Source organism: Homo sapiens, chromosome 9, assembly GCF_000001405.40.
Source record: "Homo sapiens chromosome 9, GRCh38.p14 Primary Assembly".
NCBI classification, from domain to species: domain Eukaryota; kingdom Metazoa; phylum Chordata; class Mammalia; order Primates; family Hominidae; genus Homo; species Homo sapiens.
In genome coordinates this window covers 65670841-65695304 of record NC_000009.12, presented here as the reverse complement: position 1 = coordinate 65695304, position 24464 = coordinate 65670841, and the positions used below count along the sequence as shown (strand labels likewise).

The 24464-nt window shown below is 36.1% G+C and overlaps 1 protein-coding gene across 26 annotated transcripts in view, besides 4 other annotated features; it reads right to left on the bottom strand.

The window, feature by feature from the left end:
* ZNG1E (Zn regulated GTPase metalloprotein activator 1E) overlaps window positions 1–24464 on the bottom strand; it is an 81063-nt gene that overhangs the window by 38737 nt on the left and 17862 nt on the right. For 15 of the 26 annotated variants that reach the window (XR_007061263.1, XR_428503.3, XR_007061264.1 and 12 more), the window contains exons 1-6: window positions 19175–19377; window positions 16053–16139; window positions 13635–13731; window positions 12448–12539; window positions 4279–4338; window positions 2697–2734 (exon numbers count right to left, since the gene is read on the bottom strand). Coding sequence is in view for 18 of the 26 variants with exons in the window: in NM_001330668.2 (NP_001317597.1) it covers window positions 2697–2734; window positions 4279–4338; window positions 12448–12539; window positions 13635–13731; window positions 16053–16139; window positions 19175–19328 (528 nt within the window). In the remaining 8 variants the exon portion in view is untranslated. Of the gene's footprint in view, window positions 1–255; window positions 401–1831; window positions 1920–2696; window positions 2735–4278; window positions 4339–12447; window positions 12540–13474; window positions 13732–16052; window positions 16140–18079; window positions 18178–19174; window positions 19378–24464 lie in introns of those variants that run through there. The other 11 variants (XM_047422963.1, XM_017014456.2, XM_024447453.2 and 8 more) reach the window with 6 other exon arrangements.
* Window positions 18503–19093: an enhancer, noted in NCBI's record as "H3K27ac hESC enhancer chr9:70489243-70489833 (GRCh37/hg19 assembly coordinates)". NCBI's record gives its function as "activates a minimal SCP1, AML or CMV promoter by ChIP-STARR-seq in primed H9 embryonic stem cells {active_cell/tissue: H9 hESC(primed)}" and the evidence as "EXISTENCE:reporter gene assay evidence [ECO:0000049][PMID:30033119]".
* Window positions 19094–19683: an enhancer, noted in NCBI's record as "H3K27ac hESC enhancer chr9:70489834-70490423 (GRCh37/hg19 assembly coordinates)". NCBI's record gives its function as "activates a minimal SCP1, AML or CMV promoter by ChIP-STARR-seq in primed H9 embryonic stem cells {active_cell/tissue: H9 hESC(primed)}" and the evidence as "EXISTENCE:reporter gene assay evidence [ECO:0000049][PMID:30033119]".
* Window positions 19094–19803: a biological region, named in NCBI's record as "Sharpr-MPRA regulatory region 13873".
* Window positions 19509–19803: a silencer, noted in NCBI's record as "tiled region #13873; K562 Repressive DNase unmatched - State 1:Tss". NCBI's record gives its function as "represses a minimal TATA promoter and a strong SV40 promoter by Sharpr-MPRA in K562 cells {active_cell/tissue: K562}" and the evidence as "EXISTENCE:reporter gene assay evidence [ECO:0000049][PMID:27701403]".

Here is a 24464-nt window from a genome sequence, read left to right as displayed (position 1 = left end):
AGAACACTGCTGTTGACCAGAGTGGAAATAAATCTAGTGTCAAAGATGTCTGGTGTCATTTTTAAAAAGCAGCAGCAGGAACTATTTCTTTCAAATGGATTGGTTACAGATGTAACACTATTTTAGTTTTTAAAAAATTATTGCATAATGTCAGTCTATTTATTGTTCTGGCCTTTTCCAAGCTAACTGTTTTCTGACTGAATTGTTTCAACAGATTGTGCAATATAACAGAGGAACCAAGAAGAAACCTCTCACTTGACCTTCTCTGGGTAACTTCATTCATTGCTTCTATTGCATTAAATGCTGTCACATTTGTAGAACTGAAAAGAACAATGTCAGTAGCCCGGGTGTCAAGTCCTCAGAATAGAGAGCTGTCATTTTAAGTTGTCCAATTCTTTGCCTATGATTAAAAAATGAATATTTCAGATCAATGGGTGACAATCCCATTAGAGTGATACCCCATGATATCAATTACCACTTCAGTTTCAATTTGGCTGGCTGGCCACAGGGTACCATTTCTCAGCTTTACTTGTCATGGGCTGGCTCTGTGAAGCATGACATTCTTAAATTGCTGCCCATTATCCAAGTGTCATTACTTGTACTGCCTCAGAATTCTCTGAATCACAAGCAGCTACTGAGGTCAAGCTTTGCAACCAGAGGAATTGGACAAGTTGGAAAATTCTTTATATCAAGGCAAAGTTATTTATCTGGCATCCGACTTAGAAAATTTAAAGTTTCCATTATCCTGACAGTGTGTCAGTTTCGTGTAGGTATATTGATTTAATAATTTAAGAGGTTTTATCAAGGTAGCAGAAGGTTAAACGTTTACTGTGTTTGCATTATTCAGAATGTTGCTTTGTTTTTTTGGCCTCCATCATGCTGATAATAGATTCTATTTAACTCTTCTCCATACCCAACTATACATATAAAATTTTTCCTATAATCATAAAATACATAAACAGTTTGACTTTTAGCATGGCATTTTCAGTCTATCAAAATAAAAAAAAAACAAAATGTCTTAGCAGTTATCTGTCACATAGGTATATCAAATTTTGTAATAAATTTATGGAAGAGGTAGATTCAAACATGCCTATAATAAACATTCAAAATGAATAATTTGGGGCTTTTTTGCTACCTCCATAAGCATTTTTCAAGAAATATGATTTCCAACAGTCATTGGAATTTTTCTGCGTGAAACTGTAATACTGTATTTGGGATCATTCTTTGATTCTTAAATTATATTCATAAATTCATAAATTGAGATTTTAAACTCTAAAAAAGGAGTTTTCTTCCAAACTTTTCAAATTAGGGCACTCTATCAACGAGGGAGAGAAGGCCCAGTGAAGAGGTATTGGTAGCTATTTGACAAACCTGACATATCCCCTTAGAGCATAATTTCAGCAAAGATTTGGGAAAAAAAAAAGCAAACTTAAACATTAACAAGTTCAGGCCGGGCGTGGTGGCTCATGCCTGTAATCCCAGCACTTTGGGAGGCTGAGGCAAGTGGATCACTTGAGGTCAGGAGTTCATGACCAGGCTGGTCAACATGGTAAAATCCTGTCTCTACTAAAAATACAAAATTAGCTGGGCATGGTGGTGTGCACCTGTAATCCCAGATACTCAGGAGGCTGAGACAAGGGAATCGCTTGAACCTGGGAGGTGGAGGTTGCAGTGAGCCAAGATGGTGCCACTGCACTCCAGCCTGGGCAACAGAGTGAGACTCTGTCTCAAAAAAAAAAAAAAAAAAAAAAATTAACATGTTCAGATATGAGGTTGGATACAAAACAGTCACTAATTTTTAAACACTGAATTTAAACTTCTAAGAACTTACTGCTTTGGGCCCTATCCATATGCTCAGATTGGGAACGGGTCAGTGGGTGGGATGATTTCATTCTCTTCTGCCTTTAGTGGTATTTCACCTGGGAAGTTGAGAAACGTCATTTTACTGTATGTAACAACATACTTTTAAAGATCTTACTAAATGCATTTTATAAATTAAACCTCATTTAAATGCATTCTAGGACCTTAGAAGTTAACAAAAACATTCATAGCAGGATGTCTTTTACACTTGATCTTAGCCAAAAGACCAAGAAGCGATGCAAGATGCCTTTTAATGGAGAGAGTCTTCTTACTAATCCTATGTGTATATCCTGATTTTCTTCAATATGTACTTTTTAAATTTTAAGTTCCAGGGTACATGCTCACGATGTGCAGGTTTGTTACATAGGTAAACGCGTGCCATGGTGGTTTCCTGCACCTATTAACCCATCACCTAGGTCTTCAATATTTTTTAAAAACTCATTTCCAGTGTGTGTTTAATAGTAATTTAACAAGAAAAATAAGATCTCAGATGCTTTATCAAGCTCAGCTTCTTCTATGGAACAGAAAAACTTACCAATATTGGGGTTGAATCCTTGTGAAGAGCTATACATACCAAACTCTATCCTAACCCCATATGCTTATTACAAATTATAATTCCAAATTTTATCACCAAATCAAACTCAGAGTAATAGAAAAGAAATATTTAACACAAACTAATAATTAAAACACAAATTTCACCTATTGTTCAGGATATCTTTTTGAGAAAGGTTTTTGTTAAAGAAAATTTCAGATACAAACATAAAGAAAATTAAACAATCAATCCCCATATTCCCAGCTCTCAATAATGAGCCACTCATAGCAATCTTTCAACTTACTTTTAATCCATATTTTGAATCCACAATAGTTATGATACCTACAAAGGAAAAAACATTTTAATCACTTTTTAAAAAGAATGCTTATTAATACTTGTGCAACCATACTTCAGAATGAAAATTAAAACTAACCTATTTCAGTTCACAAATACTACTCAATAAAACAATGTACTGTTTTTTTCTCTTGCCAGTGCTGCCATTTAATTAAATTCCAGTAATAAGTCAATGCATTTCCTGAGTGGCTAGCACTATTTTAAGGCACTAGAGAAGATATAAAACAAATAAAAATTTTAAATTAAATAAATAAGAAAATAAGATTTCCTTGGCACTGAAAAAGCTTACAATCCAAAATATAAGTCAAATTTCATAACATAGTCAAATGTGATAAGTACATAAGACAGGTTATTTCTAGTTTATTTTCACATAATCAAAAAAAAGACTTTTCTTAAGATTTAAATTATTGCCTAAAGAATGAGACATCTTAAGGTATCATTCCTAACATCTCTCACCAAATCCAAATCCAACTCATAAATGTTTTACATAACATATGCCTAAGTTTCCAAACTACCAATTCATTTTGCAGTCTCTGAATATATGCTGATAACAAAAGAATGAGTTTAATTATGCCTAAGGAATTCAACCAGTTACCCGCCACATATATTAGAGCTCAATGATGGGGCCCAGCTTAATAATTCTTAAATTTCTTAATGATTATTACTTTTGAAAAAGTAAGAAAATTTCGACTGGTTTTTAAAAAGGTGAAAAAGGGAAAGAGAAAGGGAGAAAACATAGTCGCTTAACTAAGAAAGTTTCTAATATATTTTAAATGAAGGCATATCATTGCCCAAAAGTGTTCAGGTAAATAAAGTAAGGGAGGAGTGTTTAATTCTTATCTTCAAGAGAAAATAAAAGCAAAAATATGATCCTCATATTGCCTGGAGGATAAAAATAAAAGGCTCTAACATTACATTAAGGACATAAATCAAACAACAGAGGATACAGAAAACCTACAAAGCATTGTTTTTTTTAAAGAAAACCTTAGTGGAAGCACTAAATTGGAAGTTGAGTGACATCGAGTTCCACCACTGTCTGGGGTTTTTTAATCTATATGAACAAAGATTTCATCATTAAACTAAAGTGTGAAAAGAACCACAATGCAAGGAATTAAAGTTATAACATGAATGAACAACAATAAGCTTAACCATAAAGATTTTACTAAAAAACAAAAGAGGCAGGGTGTGGTGGCTCAGCCTGTAATCCCAGCACTTTGGGAGGCCGAGGCTGGCGGATCACCTGAAGTCAGGGGTTCAAGACCAGTCAGGCCAACATGGCGAAACCCCGTCTCTACTAAAAATCCAAAAATTAACCAGGTACGATGGTGCACGCCTGTAGTCCCAGCTACTCGGGAGGCTGAGGCAGGAGAATCACTTGAACCCAGGAGGTAAAGGTTGCAGTGAGCCGAGATCATGCCACTGCACTCCATGCACTCCAGTCTGGGCAACAAAGTGAGACTCTGTCTCAGAAAAAAAAAAACAAAAACAAAAAAAAAACAAGAAAGATAAAAGAAAACTGTTTTTTAACTTACCATCAAGGTAAATATCACTCCCTAATTCAGCATCAACCCAAAACATAGAAGTCACTGCACCTGAAAATATATAATATTCATCAAATAAAAATATTTCTTCACACTGAGAAACATGATTCTATCCATGTTTTAATTTGCCCTGATAAAATTAACAGGTAAACACATATATCTTCTTATGGAAATTATAGTGATAGAAGCTTTAACTATTTAGAGCAAAAGGGAATTATAGTGATAGAACCTTTTACTATTTATACCCATTCCATTTCCATCTCTCTTGTTATTTCCTTTAAAAAAGACCAATTCTAACCACATATAAACAAAACATCATTCTTCTACCGATGCCATAATAATTTAATTAACAGATATTATCAAACAATTTGAGCAGTATGGCTTTGTGCACATCAGACTTATTTTTATTTTCTCACCTCTTTAATATGATAATCATTCAATCATAAATAGTGAATTATCACTCTAAAGGAAAAGGAAAACAAAACATAGATAATTCCAAAATCACTTGCCCAAAAAAAATTTACTTGTAATCTGTGTAGAACTAGAAGTAAAATTATATACTCTATGGCATTACTAATTATTCCTCACACTATTTATTTAGGACTGTATAAAACCTGGGTCTTAGGAAAAATTTTTCCTAAATAATAAATTAAAACTTGCTTTTGACAGAAATTGGTTCAGTACCAAACCACATACCCTGATTAGTATGCCACAACGCAAGAAAAAGAAAACTGACAGCAAGGAAAGTATTTGATTTTTGAAAGCATCACAGGCCCAGTTAGTGACAGGGCTGTCTAAAAGAATGAGTGTAGGAGAAAAACAAGGATAATCAAACTCATTCCAACGTCTAAAGCTGTCCACCTGCTCTGAAAAGATGTGGTCCCCCAAGCATCACTCTGTGTCAACAATGAAATACCTGTCAGCTGTTTACAGTGATTACTCATGCAAGATATAGCAAGGGCCACAAGATCTAATGGTTTCCTGATACCTATTGATTTTTTTCCCAAAAACTTAATAGTTTTCCAATTTGACTCAAATAGCATTTGTGAGTAACAGGGGCTGAATCAATGTCCGTTCTTTTCAAGGAAATTACTTTACCATGACAATTATTTAACTTAGAACTGGAGAGTGTCAGTCTCCAAAACGGGAAACAACTGAATTGCCAATAAGAATTTTGTTCACTTTCTTGGCTAAAACATAATTTTAATTAATGAGGGGGAAAATTAAATCTACTGTATCACTACTCCAAACAATAAGTCATTTAAAAAAGCATGAATTTTTTCACTCAGTAAAATATCTAACATACATAAATCATTTTGTAATTTTTAAAAATTCATTGATTTTTAGTCTAATAAATAGTTTACAAATCCTACTGTTAATATTTGCCTCTTAAGTTGAAATGTAAGAGTATATTAATGCTTTATTCTAAAACTGGTATTTATCTTTGATATAATACTTGCCAGACTACATGAGAAAGATCTATTTAAAATTTGGATGTAGGTATTTAGGAGGAGTAAAGATGAATGGACAAAATTGATCAGTGGCTCTCAAACCAGGGTGCTTTTCTCCCCAGGGAATATTTGGCAATGTCTGAAGATGTTTTTGGTTGTCTTAACTAGGGGAATGCTACTGGCAACTAGTGGGTAGAAGCCAGGGATGTTGTTAAATATCCTACTCTGCACAGGGCAACCCCCTCACAACAAATAATTATCCAACCCAAAATGTTATTTGTGCTGACACTGAGAAAACCTGAACTACATTTTAGAATCTCCCTTCTTCAAAATCTAATAAAACAAAAAATAAAAATAAAAAATAAAACAAAAAGGCCAACATTTTATTAGCAGCAACCAAATATAAAAGGGCCTGCCATAAATTTTGAAGACTGATAGTCAAAATAAGAAACAAAGTTATATGTGATTGATGGTCATTCCCAACTCTACCCCTACCTCCAATAAGAGGTTGTAGGGAAATAGTTTACAAAATCCTAAACACTTACCAGAAATACACTCCAAAATGGCAAAAAGTAGAGCCGAGGAATGAATAAGCAACACAGGGAAAAGTCAACAAAAAAATTTCAAGAGTGAGTTTTAACCATCTCCATGCTTTGGGAAGGAGAAGGTCAGGTCACATTCTAGGGCTCAGAACAAAGAGAAATGAGAGGTCTGAGGTCGAATGATGTCCCCATACAAGGCAAAGGAATTTTATTCATAAGCACTTGGGCAGACCCAAGAGTGAAATACTTGGTACTTCAAGAGAGCAGAGCCTAAAAGCCACATTGCCCCATTTGGCTCTCTGAATCACCACTTTTCCCTTCTCTTTCCCTCCACTCCAACAATATACAGCTTTCAAACTAGGGCTCAGGAGAAAAACAAACTTGGGTAAGGAGAGTGGAGTATTAAAAATATTTCCCATCAGCACCACATAGAAGTTCTCCCATATCAAGAAGAAACATGTATGCATATGTATTACAGCCTGACAAAAAGAAACACACACATACAGGGAATAAAAAGCAAGAAAGAACACAAAATGAAGAAATGAATAGGGCATACAAATGGCAAAGAACCAACCCATTCTGGAAGGATACATAACCCAATAAAAACTAAAGAAAATTCTCAACAACTTCATCATAATGAAGAACTTGAAAACAATACAACCTTATAATAAACAAGCTCAAAAGCAAGAAGAAGCAGAATAAGATGAAAATGCAGTTTGTAGTGCTAAAGAAACTTAGAGCCTATATGACTTAACCAATTAATTATTTTTAATTATTGACTTAACCAATTAATTAATAATTATTAATAATTTAATTATTGACTTAACCAATTAATTAATAATTAATGACTTAACCAATTAATTCATTTAAAATATCAAAAACAGGACAGACACTGGAGAAAACAGAATTACTGACAAAAAGAAAGGCTTCAGATGATCACAGTAAATGCAAAGGTAAAAGACACATCAAAGCAATTAGAATACATACGAAGAACAAAAGAAAATTCAGTATTAAAAAAACTGGTGTCATGAAGTAGAGGATCTAATAATTTGACCAAAAAAAAAGTATTCATGGTAATAAACAAGGAAAATGTTCTTAGAAGAACTAAGGGCATATTATAATTTAGGGAAAAATGATTATAAGTGACACTTAGATATACCTTGTTTATATTACTGAATTTCAAAAATAAAGAAGAAAACTCTCAGGCATTTTAGATTAAAAAAAAAAAAAGTGCCTTCAAGGAGGGAGGGAGAAAAATCAGACTTTTCTACAGTAACACTAGATGTCCCAAAATAATAAAACAGTGACCACAAAGTTCTAATGAAAGTGTTCCCAAACAAGTTATTTTTCAGGAACGAAAGCAATAGACAGACATTCTCAAGCATTAAAGAAAACAGCAAGCATTGAAACTCAGAGACTATAATACTCACAAATTCTTCCTAATAAAAGGAGAAAACATTGGACAAAGAAATCCAGCCAATCAAACACTAGGAGATTATGGAACAACATTTACAAAGTTTGGGGGAAAAAAGTGTGACTGATAAATTTTATACCTAGCCAAGTAATCCTTCAAGTAATATAAAAACAAAAGACAAATATTTTGAATCAATGAAGTGTATAAGAACCCAAAGAATGCATGCAGTACCTGTAACTTGAAAAGACTGCCTGACAATGAAATTCAATCAGGAGATGGACTAACTCGGGAATGGAGAAGCAACAGTACTGGTAATGAGCACCAAAACTATTAAAACATAGAACTAAAAGAATTATGACAGAACCATGACAACATAAAGAATATGATCAACACGAAACTAGGCCAATTAATATCCTACAATGGCCTCTAAGTGTTCAAGTGAAAGGAACAGTCACCTGTTTCTCACTTTAAATCAAGAGCTAGAAATGATTATGCTTAGTGAGGAAGTTATGTTGAAAGCCAAGATACGCCAAAAGCTAGGTCTCTTGAGCCAGTTAGCTAAGTTGTGAATGCAAAGGAAAAGTTCTTGAAGGAAATTAAAAGTGCTACTCCAGTAAACACACAAATGATAATAAAACAGCCTTATTGCTGATATGAAGTGGTCTGGATAGATGATCAAACAAGCCACAATGTTCCCTTAAGCCAAAGCCTAATTCAGAGCAACCCTAACTCTCTTCAGTTCTGTGAAGGCTGAGAGAGGTGAGGAAGCTAGAGAAGAAAAGTTGGAAGGTAGCAGAGGTTGGTTCACAAGATTTAAAGAAAGAAGCCATCTCCATAACATAAAAGTGCAAGGGGAAGCAGCAAATGCTGATATAGAAGCTGTAGTAAACTACCTAGAAGATGTAGCTAACATCATTCGTGAAAGTAGCTACACTAAGTAACAGACTTATTTTTTATTTATTTATTTATTTATTTTGAGATGGAGTCTCGCTCTGTCACCCAGGCTGGAGTGCAATGTGCAATCTCAGCTCACTGCCACCTCCGCCTCCCGGGTTCAAGCCATTCTCCTGCCTCAGCCTCCCAAGTAACTGGGATTACAGGCTCCCACCACCAAGCCAGGCTAATTTTTGGTATTTTTAGTCGAGATGGGGTTTCACTATGTTGGCCAGGCTGGTCTTGAACTCCTGAACTCGTGATCTGCCCATCTCGGCCTCCCAAAGTGCTGAGATTACAGGCATGAGCCACCGAGCCCGGCCAGCAACAGATTTTTAATGGAGATGAAATGGCCTCCTTTTGGAAGAAGATGCCATTTAGGACTTTCATAGCTATAGAGAAGTCAATGCCTGGCTTCAAAGATTCAAAGGACAGGCTGACTCTCTTGTTAGAGGCTAAAGCAGCTGGTGACTTCAAGTTGAAGCCAATAATCATTTACCATCCTGAAAATTCTAGGGCCATTAAGAATTATGCTAAATCTCCTCTGCCTGTTTTCTATAAATAATAAAGCCTAGATGACAGCACATCTGTTTACAGCATGGTTTATTTTAAGCCCACCATTGAGATCTACTGCTTAGAAAAAAAAAGATTCCTTCAAAATATTATTGCTCATTGACAACGCACCTGATCACCCAAGAGCTGTGATGGAGATGTACAAGGAGATTAATGTTGTTTTCATGCCTGCTAACACAACATCCATTCTGCAGCCCACTGATCAAGGAGTAACTTTGACTTTTAAGTCTTATTTAAGAAATATATTTCATAAGGCTATAGCTACCATAGATAGTGATTCCTCTGATGGATCTAGGCAAAGTAAATTCATCATTCTAGATGCCATTAAGAACATTCGTGATTCATGGGAGATCAAAGTATCAACATGAATAGGAGTTTGAAAGATGATTCCAGCCCTCACAGATGACTTTGAGGGATTTCAGACTTCAATGGAGGAAATAACTGCAGATATGGTGGAAACAGTAAGAGAACTAGAATTAGAAGGGGAGTCTGAAGATGTGACTCAATTCCTGCAATCTCATAAGAAAACTTTAACTAATGAGAAGTTGTTTCTTATGGACGGGAAAAGAACGTGGTTTCTTGAGATGGAATCTACTCCTGGTGAAGATGCTATGAACACTGTCAAAATGACAACAAAGGATTTAAAATATGACAGAAGCTTAATTGATAAAGCAGGGTTTGAGAGGACTGACTCCAATTTTGAAAGAAGTCATACTGTGGGTAAAATGCTATCAAATAGCATCATGTGCTATAGAGACATCTTTTATGAAAGGGAGAGTCAACTAATGCAGCAAACTTCATTATTATCTTATGAAATTGCCATAGCCACCCCAACCTTCAGTAACTACTACCCTGATTGGTCAGCACCCATCAACATTGTGACAAGACCCTCTACCAGCAAAAAGATTATGACTTGCTGAAAGCTGAGATGATTGTTAGCATTTTTTAGCCATAAATATTTTTAATTAAGGTATGTATGTTTTTTAGACAATTCTATTACACATTTTATAGACTACAGTATAGTATAAACACAGCTTTTTTTTTTTTTTTTTTTTTTTTTTAAGAAATGGGGTCTCATGCTGTCATCCAGGCTGGAGTGCAGTGGTGCAATCATGACTCACTGCAGCCTCAAACTCCTGAGCTCAAGTGATCCTCCCAAGTAGCTGGGACTACAGGCCTGTCACATCACACCCGGCCAAAACGCATAACTTTTATATGCAATGGGAAACAAAAAAATGTGTGTGACTCACTCTATTGTGATATTCAGTTTACTGCAGTGATATGGAACTAAGCCCACAATATCCCTGCAGTATGGCTGTACAGTATAAGAATCACCTGAAGGGCTTATTAAAAACAGCTTGCTTGACCCCCTCCCTTAGAGATTCCGATTCAGTAGATCTGGGTTGGTCAAGAATTTGCATTTCTAACAAGCTCCCAGCTGAGGCTGAGGCTGCCATTCAACATACTACCAAGTAGCACTGGCATAGAGAGATCCCTGGAATAAAATTTACCTACTTGTGTGTGTGTGTATGAATGTGTGTGTGTGTGTGTGTGCGTGCGTGTGTGTGTGTATACAGTCTTGCTCTGTTGCCTGGGCTGGAGTGCAGTGGCGTGATCTCGGCTCACCGCAACCTCCGCCTCCCAGCTTTCAAGCGATTCTCATGCCTTAGCCTCCTGAGTAGCTGGGATTATGGGGTGCGCCACAACGCCTGGCTAGTTTTTGAATTTTCAGTAGAGACTGGATTTCACCATGTTGGCTAGGCTGGTCTTGAACTCCTGGCCTCAAGGGATCCACCTGCCTCAGCCTCCCAAAGTGCTGGGATTACAGGCATGAGCCACCATGCCCAGCCCTTACTTGTATATCACAATAGTGAGATGATTACTTTTCAACTTTCTTCTTTGTATTTTTTAGGTATTTAAATTTTTTTACAATGAATGTTCCATCTTTACCCAAACAATAAAATCTTTATTGTAAAGAAAGTTAGAAGCAAGAAACATTAACATTTTTTATAACTACAATTTGTATAAAAGCTTTCTCTGTGATCTTTAGTTTTTCTTTCTTCCTCTGAAAAGCTGAATCGTGTTTAATTAAACTCTCAAAAGTGTCAAGTTTTTGTCTATAAAATGGCAAAACTGGCTATGATGAAATAAACTGATATTTGCTATTTCTAATAAAAGCATACAATATATTTTTCTTTCTTACCAGATTCAAATAATATTTAACGCCAACATATTAGTCCAAGTCCTATCATCAGTCAGATTTATCAGAAAGGTATGAAAACCCATGCTTACTATAAGGACCAAAATAGCCTAATTCAATACTACTTTGAAAACATGGGGATGATGTTACTACGTAATTGTTTTAAGTACAATAACCACTGATCACATTTGAACTCTCAGGATACTTCAATATTTCTTTTGGACAACTATGACCTGTTTAGTAAATTACCCCCAAATACTTTAATATAGTTTTACAAATCGCCCCAATGCCAGAGACCCAGATCAAAAAGAAAATAATGGTATGGGTCAGATTCACAGAATAAGCACTAACTTTTATGCAAACTGAAAATAAAGATTTTATCTAAAAGTTATTTGGGGAAAATAAGCAGACTTTATCAAGAATTAGAGCTTGGTAAGAAGGTAACAGAAACCCATTGTGAGAAACAGGTTGACTCTGTGTAGCTTTCCATAGTAGAGTTTAGAGTTTCTTGTCATGATTACCTTATCAATGCAGTATAATAACTACTTACACAGCACTTACATTGCATTAGGTATTATAAGTAATCTACAGATGATTTAAAGTATATGGGAGGATGTGCATAGGTTATAGGCAAATACTACACCATTTTATGTAAGGGACTTGAACATTAATAGATTTTGGTATCCTCAGAGGTTCTGGAACTAATACGCCATGGATGCCAAGGGACAACTGTACTTAGAGGTAGAACGTCTCTGCTCTTCCTACATGTCCTTATTTTTAACAACTTCTGTTCTTACAAATAATCCTAAGTCAATCAATAAAACTTCAAATTCTATTAACAGCTTAAAAGCACCAAGAAATACTCTGATCATTCATTCAACTGCCAAAGAAAATGACAACCAAGTACTTTTCCTCTTTTAAACCAAAAAAAGTTTTTGGTTTAATACTAACAAAAGCTTTAATACTCATTTTAGATATTCCTCTAATACATCTATTTACAATATATCACAGAACTATATTCTGGTTATTAATAATCTCACTTCTTACCAGGGTCTGCTAATCCAGTGGTCTCTAACAGTATGTCATCAAATTTCCCCTTCTTTTGCATCAAATTCTCAATAGCTCTAAGGCCATTGTCCCTGGAGAATACCAAAACATAATTTACAGTTAATTACCTAAATATTTTGAAGTGATTATTATAAACACTTTAAAATGTATTCAACAACCCGAGACAAAAGTATCCTTAGGAATGTGAAAATTTAACTCACTTCTAACCTTCTAACAAAATGTCTGTCCCATATTTACCAGGGAGAAAACAATAGATGCATATATATAATAGGTAAAAAGAAATCATATACATAATAATACTTTATTAAAATTAAAAGCAGAGGAAACTTTATCTGACCAAGTATCTTTTTATAGCTTTATGAAATTGTTAAAAACCAACATACAAAATAATGATAAAATTTATTAACTATAGTAGTTTAATATAATAGCTAAAGGGACACTGATATTAAACACCATATAATTCTATTTTACATTAGGATGCAAGGTTTTAAATTCCTTTTTTCTTATTTTATCAAAAGTGAAGGAAAATCCTTAATAGATTACATTTTGGTTGTTCAAGAAAGTCTGTTATAATTTTATCCTTGCCAAAACATTTGACACAAAGTCAAATACCTAAGGGAGTAAATGATGCCGAAGAGATTTAATTCACTAGAATACACAAAATTAACAATACAAGTAGTCATTTTTATAATTCATTCAACAAATATTTGAGTGCTACTATGTGTTGGGTAACTCTTCTAGGGTCTATGGTAGACTAGTGAACACTGTCCTTGGAAACTTAACTACTAGAACATAATGTAAGGTTTTTCTTTTTTGATAGTCATTTATTTTTTATAAGGTTGAACACTTAGAAGTATGACCAATGACAGATTAAATTCAGAATAATCATTTTTTACATATGAGACTTTCATGCACTAGAGATTAAATAAGCCCTGACATCAAAAGCAATAAAAACTCAATAAAAGGACCAAAACATTAGAGCAGATAGAAAAGACAGCAAAAACACTTTAAGAAAATGCTTCCTAATAAGTTTATTTTCTATTTGTTTGAAAATACAATGAAGCAAACTGTGTAAATTCAGTTAAATTACTCAAGAAAATTAAAGCTGGAAATATAATCAATAAACATTTCTAGTAAACCATGTACACAGTAAACACATTCCTCACTTCACTGAACAGCAGAGGCAACCGTTTCTAAGTTCCAGCCACTCTTCATAGAGCTCTCCACCTTGGCTGACAGCTAAGGATTTCTCCAGCGCACTTCCTAGAATAAATAACAAACAGCACTCTTTAGCTTATGTCCATTAGCCAACAAAAAACAAAGATGAGGATAACTCAATAATGGAGATCTTAAAGCAGAAACTGCATTTTATAACTTATATTCTTTCATTTTATTCATGCAGCCTTGATATCTAAATTACAGTACACTACATTATTTTAGCTTTTATTTAAGATGACTTAAGCCCTGAAAAAAGACACATCCTAAACTGATAAACATACCTACTTCCTCCTTAGGCCTCTTACTTGGCCACCCCCATTTCTTAATGAAGGCATTTTTTTCTTGTCCAGGGTAAACTTTCTAAATCGACTAGTATGTTTTATATACTGGATTCTGTATGCCCTTCAACCTCTTAAGAGACTGCCTTATCTATCTTTTTCTTTTCATTCTTCTTCTAAATTGTTTCTGTTAGACAAACTGCTGAATATTCCCAATGAGTAAAAACCCTAGTTCATCCTAAGGAAGGTTTTTGGCCAGTGTACCGTGTGCTCATTTAAAAATTAAACTTATAGGGAGGCCAAGGCGGGCGGATCACGAGGTCAGGAGATCGAGACCACCCTCGCTAACACAATGAAACCTCATCTCTACTAAAATTACAAAAAATTAGCCAGGTGTGGTAGCGGGCACCTGTAGTCCCAGCTACTCAGGCGGCTGAGGCAGGAGAATGGCGTGAACCCGGGAGGCGGAGGTTGCAGTGACCCGAGACTGTGCCACTGCACTCCAGCCTGGGCAACACAGTGAGACTCCATCTCAAAAAAAAAAAAACCTAAACTTTTAGTCAAATTCACATATTTTCCTAGCAATACTTACTTAAGAAAGAATAAACTATATTTGAAATGCTTGTTATCTATAAGAATTACTTTAAATGTTTTACTTTTCCTCTAATACAGAAATATACCAAACGGTGAAGTTCTAAAAGTCCACTAAGCAAATGAGCTCCCATAAAATCGAGTAGTTTTACACTTACATATTTTTTATATTTCAGCTAGGTATTAATAAAGAGCTTCTAAAGAGGTTGCTACAGAATTCGGACTATATACAGAACATTAATGAAACATGAAGAAAAGTATTGAGAATGCTGTGAAAAATAAAATTGTGAAAATGATCCAGGAAAAAATAAAGAAAATAGTAAGAATAAATGTAATCAGTGTGCAATAGGTTATTTAATAAGATGATGAAAAAAACAGTCTGTTATTAGAAATCTCAGGATTTTTGCCTAAAAAGCACTTTTCTCTTTAGTTTATTAAAACCAGAAATCGAATATAACTGGAATATAACTGGCTTCCCATCCTGTTCATAAAACCTAGCTCTTTTACTTTTTACAACTGAAAAAAATAGTACATTTTAAAAGAAATCGTCTAATAGATATTGTTTTTTGGCTAGAAGTGAGCTTTGATTACAATTCATACTTATGAAGAAAAACTCCTATAAAGATAACAGAAGTATTGTGTCTAGAGCTATTTTTTTTTACTACAGTTTAATATTTGAGTTGAGAAGTTAAGCACACTTATTTTCACAGATAAAATACATGAGGATAAAGACCATATGTTTACCTTCTTTTTAAAATATTGAGTTTTAACTGCATTGCAGATAATAAACATTAAACAAAGTTAACTAATAACAGAAGCATTTTCAAATATTTTTCATGAGTTGCAATAGAGTCCATACAAAACTGCCTTTCTAATTCCTAAAAAAGACATTTTTTGGCCAGGCATGGTGCCTCACGCCTGTAATCCCAGCAACTTTGGGAGGCCGAGGCGGGTGGATCATAAGGCCAGGAGCTCAAGACCATCCTGGCCAACATGGTGAAACCCTGTCTCTACTAAAAATACAAAAATTATCTGGGCATGGTGGCGCATGCCTGTAGTCCCAGCTACTCGAGAGGCTGAGGCAGGAGAATCACTTTAACCCGGGAGACAGAGGTGGCAGTGAGCTGAGATTGCACCACTGCACTCCAGCCTGGCGACAGAGAGAGACTCCATCTCAAAAAAAATAAAATAAAATAAAAAATAAACGTTTTTTCATATGTCCAGATTTTTACTTCTGGAGTCATTTATTTCATGTAAAAATGTAGTTTAATTCTGTTAATAAGAATTCCAAAGTTATACAAAATAAAATTTTATTAAAACTAATTTCAGTATCTCAACCCATATAAATCTTAACAGAAATTAATCTAATTTTTCTAAAGCTATCCACATCAATACAATACCTTGCATTTTCATTTTTAAATATGGAATATCAATTCACCAGAGGAATAAACAGTCACACAAAATCTTGCAACATGACATTTATTGAACTTTACTTACCTTCCCCAGATTCATTTAAAATGACCGCTACTCTTTTACTATGTTGCTCTGTCAAAATATAGTTCAGAAGTGTTGTCTTCCCAGCACCTATAAAACATATTTTTTGTAAATAAAAAAATTCAAAATAATTTTAAAGATACAAAAAACATATAAAGAATCCTAACGTTTTTGAGAATTTGCATGCTATTTTTCATATATTATTTTAGTATAGAATATCCTAGAGGATAAGATTAAAGCATCCTTTGAAACCTGTTGCAAAATACTTTATGTAGACATAAAATTTTATAAATATTTACAAACACTCCTACAAGTTGAAACAGTTTCTTCAACCTAGCCTAACCTTCCCTAAAATTGACACACAATCTTTTATTTACAGTGACCTTTTATTTCAACATTAACGAGACGCAACTTCAGGCTGACTATATGGCTACTTATAGTATGCTTTAAACAATCTATAAAAGTTTTTATGAAATGGGGAATAGAACCAGGTAGTGTCAACAATGAACAGAATGTTCAGTTAAGATAAATTCATAAAGCTATACCAACTTTATCCAGCAGGTGGCATATGAAACCCAATATGTCAATCTCCAGTAGAAAAAAAAGTCTTGTGAACCGTACACACTAAAATTCATAGAGGAAAAAAAGAAAATCCTAACTGCATAGTATTGTAGTTCAACTGTATGACTATATCATTTCTTTATCTTTTTTTTTTTTGTTGGACATTTGGTTTGTTTCCAGTGTTTTACTATTACAGTGCTGCTAAAAACTTTTACATGTAGGCTATACATGTCTTCTGAAATAAAGTTTTCTAGTATATAACTAGATCTTCCTACAACTAGGAAGATTTTACGGAGTATTAGGGTATTAATATCTTTTAGGTCATATTCCTTTCAAAGCTTTTTAAGAGATGAAGGCTTATATTTAGAGTACTTTAGGAAGCTCAACATCACAAAAATATGAAGTATAGTATGGAAGAGAGAGACTTAGGGCAATGAGGAAGATCTTAAAACCAGTCCAAGCCTGAGACAGAGGCCCTGAACATGAGTGTTTCACAGGGCAGTGATGTGAAAACTGAAAGGAAAGGGTGAATGTAAGAAATCTTCTAAGAGAAGATTTACTAGGGCTTTTTAACCATATTATGAAAAAAAAAAAAAAAACACTTTAAGACATAGTTCATTCATTCAAAGGTTTCTAATACGTTACAGATTTATGCTGGGCCTTGGTGAAAAAGTGAACAAGATAGTCTCTGCCTTCATAGAGCTTAGAAATATTAAGGGAAGGGGGGAATGGAGGGGAATTCAGTGAATAAGGAGGCAATTATGTCTCAGGGTGACATATTCAATAGGAGATGCACAAAATGCTATGGAGAACCTAAGAGGGACATCTAGCCAGAGGAGTCACAGTAAAAAAGTACCTATTCCAAGGGGCTAAAACACTTGGCACCTTTGAAGTAACCTTAGTTTATTGTGCGGGGCCAATTTGGCAGGCTGGAAAGGTTGGCAAGATCCAGATCCTACAGGTCCTTGTAATTCATGTTAAGGAATTTGAATTTTAACCCATAGGGACGCCACTGAAAGGTGTGACGCAGTCGGATTGACATTTATAAAGATCATTAAGGCTAACATGCAACGAATAAATTAAAGGGCAGCAAGACTCCAGATTAGTCAGGAGGCTTTTGGAGTATTCCAAATGGTTGGGATCACAGAAGCAGGATTTGGGGGAATGGTAACAGACGAAGTTTCAGACATGTTAAGTTTTAAGTTGTAGGACATCAAAATAGAAATTACACAGGTGTGTAGCTAAAGATGGACAAAGGGGGAAGGAGGAGGGAGCCTTAAAAAGAAGCCAGAGAAGCAGGTGGAAAAATCAGAAGAAAAATGTAATAGAAGCCAAAGGAACAGTGTTTCAAAAAGGGAAAATGGTCAGGGATAGGAGTGAAACTATCCCTAGATTCAGCAACAAGGTTGCTGGTATTAATTCTCACTCCTGAGCTTCAGATCATTTTCTCCAATGATCTACTGACCTACCAGTGAGCAACACGGGAAAGGCCCGAGGGGCACGTTTGAAATACATTGTTTTGGACAAGAAATTTGTTCATCTTCTCAGTAGAGCAGCCTTTGAATAACTGTGGGGAAACGCCAAAAATAAATTCCTTTATAAAATTACTTCCGAGCAAAAAACGAGAATAAACTTACAGTCTACAAAGTTTTTTAAAAAAAAAAGCAGTTATTTCTTATTTTTACATAAAAGGTCACGAAGTGGCCCAAGTCTGTACCTGTCTCTAGCACACAACTAGGAATATTATTTCCCGGAAACAGTATTATTTTATTTACATTTCTTAACTTTTTCCAAACTTCTAATACAGTCATATATTTGTTCTAGCCCTTCTATTTAACTGTAAGGTTTAAAAATATATTTCTCAAACTTTTCCAGTAAGAAACTTCTAGTGTAAGTGCATAAACCGCCCTTCACGAAACTACCAAGTTCACAAACTTGTGGTTTCGAGTATCCCTGTACACTCTAAACGTTCTTAGTTTGAGAAATAGTCTTGGAGGACAGAGATTTTATTCTTACTTCCTACGCAGTGGTTTACAAACAGACCTCAAAAAAAAAGTGTTTAAGATAGGAGCACTTCCTGCCAACTGGCTGGAGGACTTTGGCTCCTGGGGAAGGGGAATCTGCTGACGAAAGCCCCACGTGTCGGACATTTTACAGACGGGACATCCTTTAATGGCAATAGGTAGGTTGTTCCGGCCCTATTTCACAGGTGACAGGTATTTTTCCATTTTCAGGTGAGGTAGATGAGCGTCAGGAAGGTAAGATAACTTGGTAAGAGGTCACAGAGACAATTAGGGGGGCGTGTCTTAGCTTCAAAGCCTTGTTTCAAAGGCTAACTTTCCATCTCACTTGAGAAATGGGAATCTAACGCAGAGGGGACCGGGCATCATTAACTCCCAAGATGAGAGGTAACCCATACGAGAAGCAAGTGACCCAGCCCCTACCTCAAAGACATTTGCTCTTGATCATGAGGCCCCAATGCCTCAGGAGAAGAGGCACCGGCAGCCCGCAAAATCCCATGACACCAGAGTTCACGGCATTTTGTGACTGGGATGGTTAGTTACCTAAATACCCGGTGATAATTGTGACTGGGATCTTGGCGCCGAGGCCAGACTTTTCCTCCTCCTCGCTTTGCGTCGTCTCAATGGGAACCAATTCAGGACAATCCTCCTCCGCAGGATCCTCTTCCTCATCCACAGATCCAACAGCCGGTAACATTCCGGCCTACGGCACGTCCCTACCTCAGCTGAACCGCTGGGACCAACACGCCGTACCGCAGCCGCGCACGCCCAGCACGCCACTCCCGGCCTGGCCGGGGCCTGACGTCATCACATCGCGACGCTAGCTGATCCCGCCCGGATTACCTGGGCTCTGGACGAGAACTGCCTCGTCCCTTAGCCACACCCCCCGGGGAGGTGGGCTCTCCCCGACGACAGCTGGACACGCCCCTGGGCGTGTTCTGTGAACCTGAGCGACGCTGCGGAGAGCCCTTAGGGCGCACTAACCACCTGTCTGAAGGTGTCACTGGCGCCTAGAGCCTTAATAAGCTACTGGCTGTAGGTAGAGCTGAGGCTAGCCTGCTGGAAATCTGGAGTGGGTAACCTGACCTAACCAGTTCCCACAGGGCATAGATTTTATCAACTTGATTTTTTAGTCTCGTTAAAAAAAAAAGTTTTAATTCATAGGGGAAAGAATGGAAGGTTATAACATTACAATTTTAATTGTAATTTTTATACCTGAAGGATAACCAGTGACAATTTTTTCTTTTTTTATTATTACATATTATATATGTAATTCCAAATTTTTAGTATTCATGCATCACTTTTATTTACTTTTTCCTCATTATTTATTTGGACCTCAGGTAATCTAAGTTCATTAATCATATTTGCTGGTGCATGACACTCTCATCACTAATCCATAGATAGCCCTTCTTTCTAATATAAATTTATAGTGAACTCCTTTGACCTCATTCCTGACGTAAAAGCATTACCAGTAAGTTACACGTACCTATGTGCACCGCCCCCGCTTCCAATCCACAGCCTGCCCCATAAGATAGTAACAACAGTCATGAATTGGTTCTGGATTGCTGATCATTCCCTGTTTTCTTTTTAGTTTTATCACATATCCCACGTATGTACTTAGAGAATATGTTGTTTAATTTTGGGTGTTTTTGAGCTTCATAAAATTATCCATATAATATATAAACTCCTGAGGCTTGCTATATTTTTCAGCATCACTGCTGTCTTGTATTCTATTGTGTGGCTACACGGCAATTTATTCATTTCCTCTCAATTGTTCCAGGTTTTGCTCTTATGAACAGGGCTGCTATGAACATTTTTCCTGACATATGTGTGTGCAACTTCCTCTTGAGTGTCTGTGTAAGAGTTGAATTGCTGGGTCCTAGATTATTCAAATGTTTTACTTCACAAGAAAATGCACAATTATTTTTCAAAATGTTTGTACAAATTGATACATTTTCCCAGCAAATTATAAGAGATCTCATTGGTCTGTATGTCAATATTATCAGGCATGCATTTTTCACCAATCAATTGAGTACAAAAGAAGACTTCATTGTGATCTTCATTTGCATTTCCTTGATTACTAACAAGGTTGAGAATCTTTTCATGTGTTTTGGCAATATTTAATTCTTAGAATGACCCTGTAGAGTGTTATCCCTCTTTCAAACATGAGGCACCAAGAGTTAAGTTACTTGTCCAGGTTAGGTCATAAAAATCTATCTGATGCACAAGTAGAATGTTTTACTACTATCCTGATGCCAGATAAAAGGTTGACTTTTCCTTCCTTCTCTGAAATTCCCCATAAAATATACTGTGTGTATTCCATTAGTTCTACTGATAAGTACATATAACTTGAAAGTATTTATCACGCCTTTTGCAGAACACAGTTAAGACAGAGGGTTTATATTTGTGCAAATGAGTATATTATATTCACACATACACTCGGTCTGAGAAATCAGGTCTTGAATGCTTTGCCAGCTTTGACAATGTAACCATGAACCAGCTGAGGAAGAAATAAGGCAAATACCTTAGGCGTGATGGTTCAGTTCACTTTATTCTACCAAAGGAGAGAAGCTGTGATGGGTAGCCCAAAATAGATAGCTTACACCCTAAACACAATGGTTCATAAGCTTTTTCGTTTCAGGAATGCTATGAAGTATTGATTTTTTTGGCAACCTAAGGGAAGGAGTAACATTGCACCCACAGTCATCACACTATTTGCTTGATGTCCCTTCAGCACTGCATTACTGCCTGAATAGCAGCTATTACAGCCCTCACCACCTTCTTTGACATATTTTTAAAAGTACATTCTTGTGGGTTCCCAATATGGCACTGGCTGAATGTTATACTAAAATCCCTCTTTCTGTTTTTTGAGACAGGGTCTCACTCTGTCGCCCAGCAGGGATTGCATTGGCACGATCACAGCTCACTGCAGTCCTAAACTCCTGGGCTCAAGTGATCCTCCCATCTCAGCCTCCCAAGTAGCTGGGACTCCAGTCATATGCCATTACATCTGGCTAATTTTTCTTTTTCTTTTTGGTAGAGACAGGGTCTCACTATGTTGTCCAGTCTGGTCTAAAGTCTCATCTCTAACAATGAGCAACCTGTAACCTATGAGGCCAGCTCAGTCAGGTTGACCAAATAGCATTGTTGTAACAGTATGTAGCCTCAATGAGAGCAAAATAAGTTTTACACATTGGCCAAAAATTAAATGCACCACAAATATCTATCAACTGATAGACAACCAAAATGTGACAAATGGATAAACAAAATATGATCTATCCGTACAATGGAAAATTATTTGGCAATAAACAGGAAAAAGGACTGATACCTGCTACAAAATGAATCAATCTTGAAAACATTATGGTAAGTGAAAAAAGCTATTCACAAAAGACCACATGTTGTATGATTCCATTTATATAAAATAACCAAAATAGGCAAATCTATAGAGACAGAAAGTACATTAATGGTTCCCAGGAGTGGAGGACTGGGGAGAGACTACAGTGGTTTTTGGGCGGTGATGAAAATGTTCTAAAATTGATTATGGTGATGGTAGTACAACTCTGATTATACTGAAAACCATTGACTTGTACACTTTAAATTGGTGAATTGTATCATATGTGAAATTTATCTCAATAAAGCTGCTATTCTTAAAAGAAATAAACACCTATCTGTGCATCAAAATGGGGTGCCTGTGTGCATTTGTAGAGAAACACTGTCTTCAGCAGTTTCAAGTTCTGGCCTTAGGCACAAGTATAAAGATTACAGCTTGATAAAATTTTTCCTTTAGTCTGTTCCATATTCCTCTTCAGTTAAGTTTTTATCTATGGATTCTGTGGAGTCCTGTCATTTTATTTTCTCAGATAGAGTTGTAATTTCAGTTCTCCCAAAATAGCTGGGCATGACTTTTTATTTTTATTTCTTTTTTCTTTTTGAGATGGAGTCTTACTCTGTTGCCGAGGCTGGAGTGCAGTGGCACGATCTTGGCTCACTGCAACCTCTGCCTCTGGGTTCAAGCGATTCTCCTGCCTCAGCTTCCTGAGTAGCTGGGATTACAGGTATGCACCACCACGCCCAGCTAATTTTTGTATTTTTAGTAGAGACGAGGTTTCACCACGTTAGCCAGGCTGGTCTTGAACTCCTGACCTCCTGATCCATCCACCTTAGCCTCCTAAAGAGCTGGGATTACAGGCGTGAGCCACTGTGCCGGGCTTTTTTTTTTTTTTTAACTTATAAGAAGGTTAAATTGTTAAATTGTTAAATTGAAAATGCCTTTTTAAATAAGTATGAAATTTCTTAATTATAATATTTTAGAATCTATTACAGTTTCTGATGTAACTTAAAAATTCCTCCTCATTTAGCTTTGCTATTTTGTCTCATTTACTTTAGGGTAAAACAACAACAACAACAATAGTAATGTTTTGAGCCCCTAAGCATCTGATAGGCACTGTGTTAAGCACATTAAATGCATTATCCCATTTAACTCTCCAAGGTAAATACTATTTGTGTGCCCATTTTATAGATGAGGAAATTGAGGCTTAGAAAAGATAAATACCTTGCTCAAAGTCATACAATCAGTAAATGGCAGCCCTTGGGCTCAATCCAAACCTGCCTGACACTAAATCTCCTGCTCTTTTAAACCAGAAGATCTGCAAACTCTTCTGTAAAACTAGATGATAAATATCTTAGTCTTTACAGATCAAAAAGCAAATTTGAGGACATTGTGTAGGTACTTATATAATAAGAGAGAGAGCAAATGTCTACAAGTTTGAAATTTGAATTTCATGTATTAAACAAAATTATGAGAGGCCATTGTTTTGGACTGAGCTCCTGCACTAATCCCAAGCAGACCAGACCAAACCAAAATGGAGTCGCTCATGCTAAGCACCACAAAATCAAACTAAAACTTTAAAAAACAGGTCCCAAAATAGACGAGTTTTTTTTTTTCTTCTCCTGAAGACAGAAGATTCCAGTATAATAAGGAAGTCCCCTCTGCTCTATCCCTTACAGAAAAGTAACCCAAAGTAACAACAGATTACTTAGAAAAAAGCAATCTCAGCCAGACACAGTGGCTCATGCCTGTAATCCCAGCACTTTGGAAAGCCAGGGCGGGTGGATCACCTGAGGTCAGGAGCTTGAGATCAGCTTGGCCAACGTGGCAAAACCCCATCTATACTAAAAATACAAAAATTAGCTGGGTGTGGTGGCACACGCCTGTAGTCCCAGCTACTCGGGAGGTTGAGGCAAAAGAATTGCTTGAACCCGAAAGGTGAGGTTGAAGTGAGCCAAGATTGTGCCACTGCACTCCATCCTGGGTGACAAAAAAATAAAAAAGTAATCTGATGTTAACCAATCAGTTTTTTTTTTCTATACTGTTTCCTTGTTCCCACCTTACAAAATCCAGTGTTCTGCTATTTTCCAATGGGATTAGAGACCAAATAACTCTATTTATGATGATAAAAAGTGATGTCAATGCCTAAAGTTTTGGGCAACCTCAAAATTAATCATCCTCTCAAAATTGACAGGTTGACCAAAAGGAGGAATTGTTAAATTCATTGTGGCCTAAAGCTGCCTCCTTACATATTTTAAGTTTACCCTAAAGGTTTCCCAGTACATAAAAAACTATATTTCAACTTGATATGTAAAACTTGATATGTAACCTACTCTTGTAACAAGTAGTGAGTCTCAGCCAATCACAGCAGCTGAACTTCAGCCAACCACAGGCAGGCAACTCTTCAAACCAGGTTCAAATAAGGCAAATGCTCAGCTGTAACCAACCCTACTCTGGTTCTGGGGGCTGCCTAATTCACAGATCATTCTTTACTCAATTAAACTC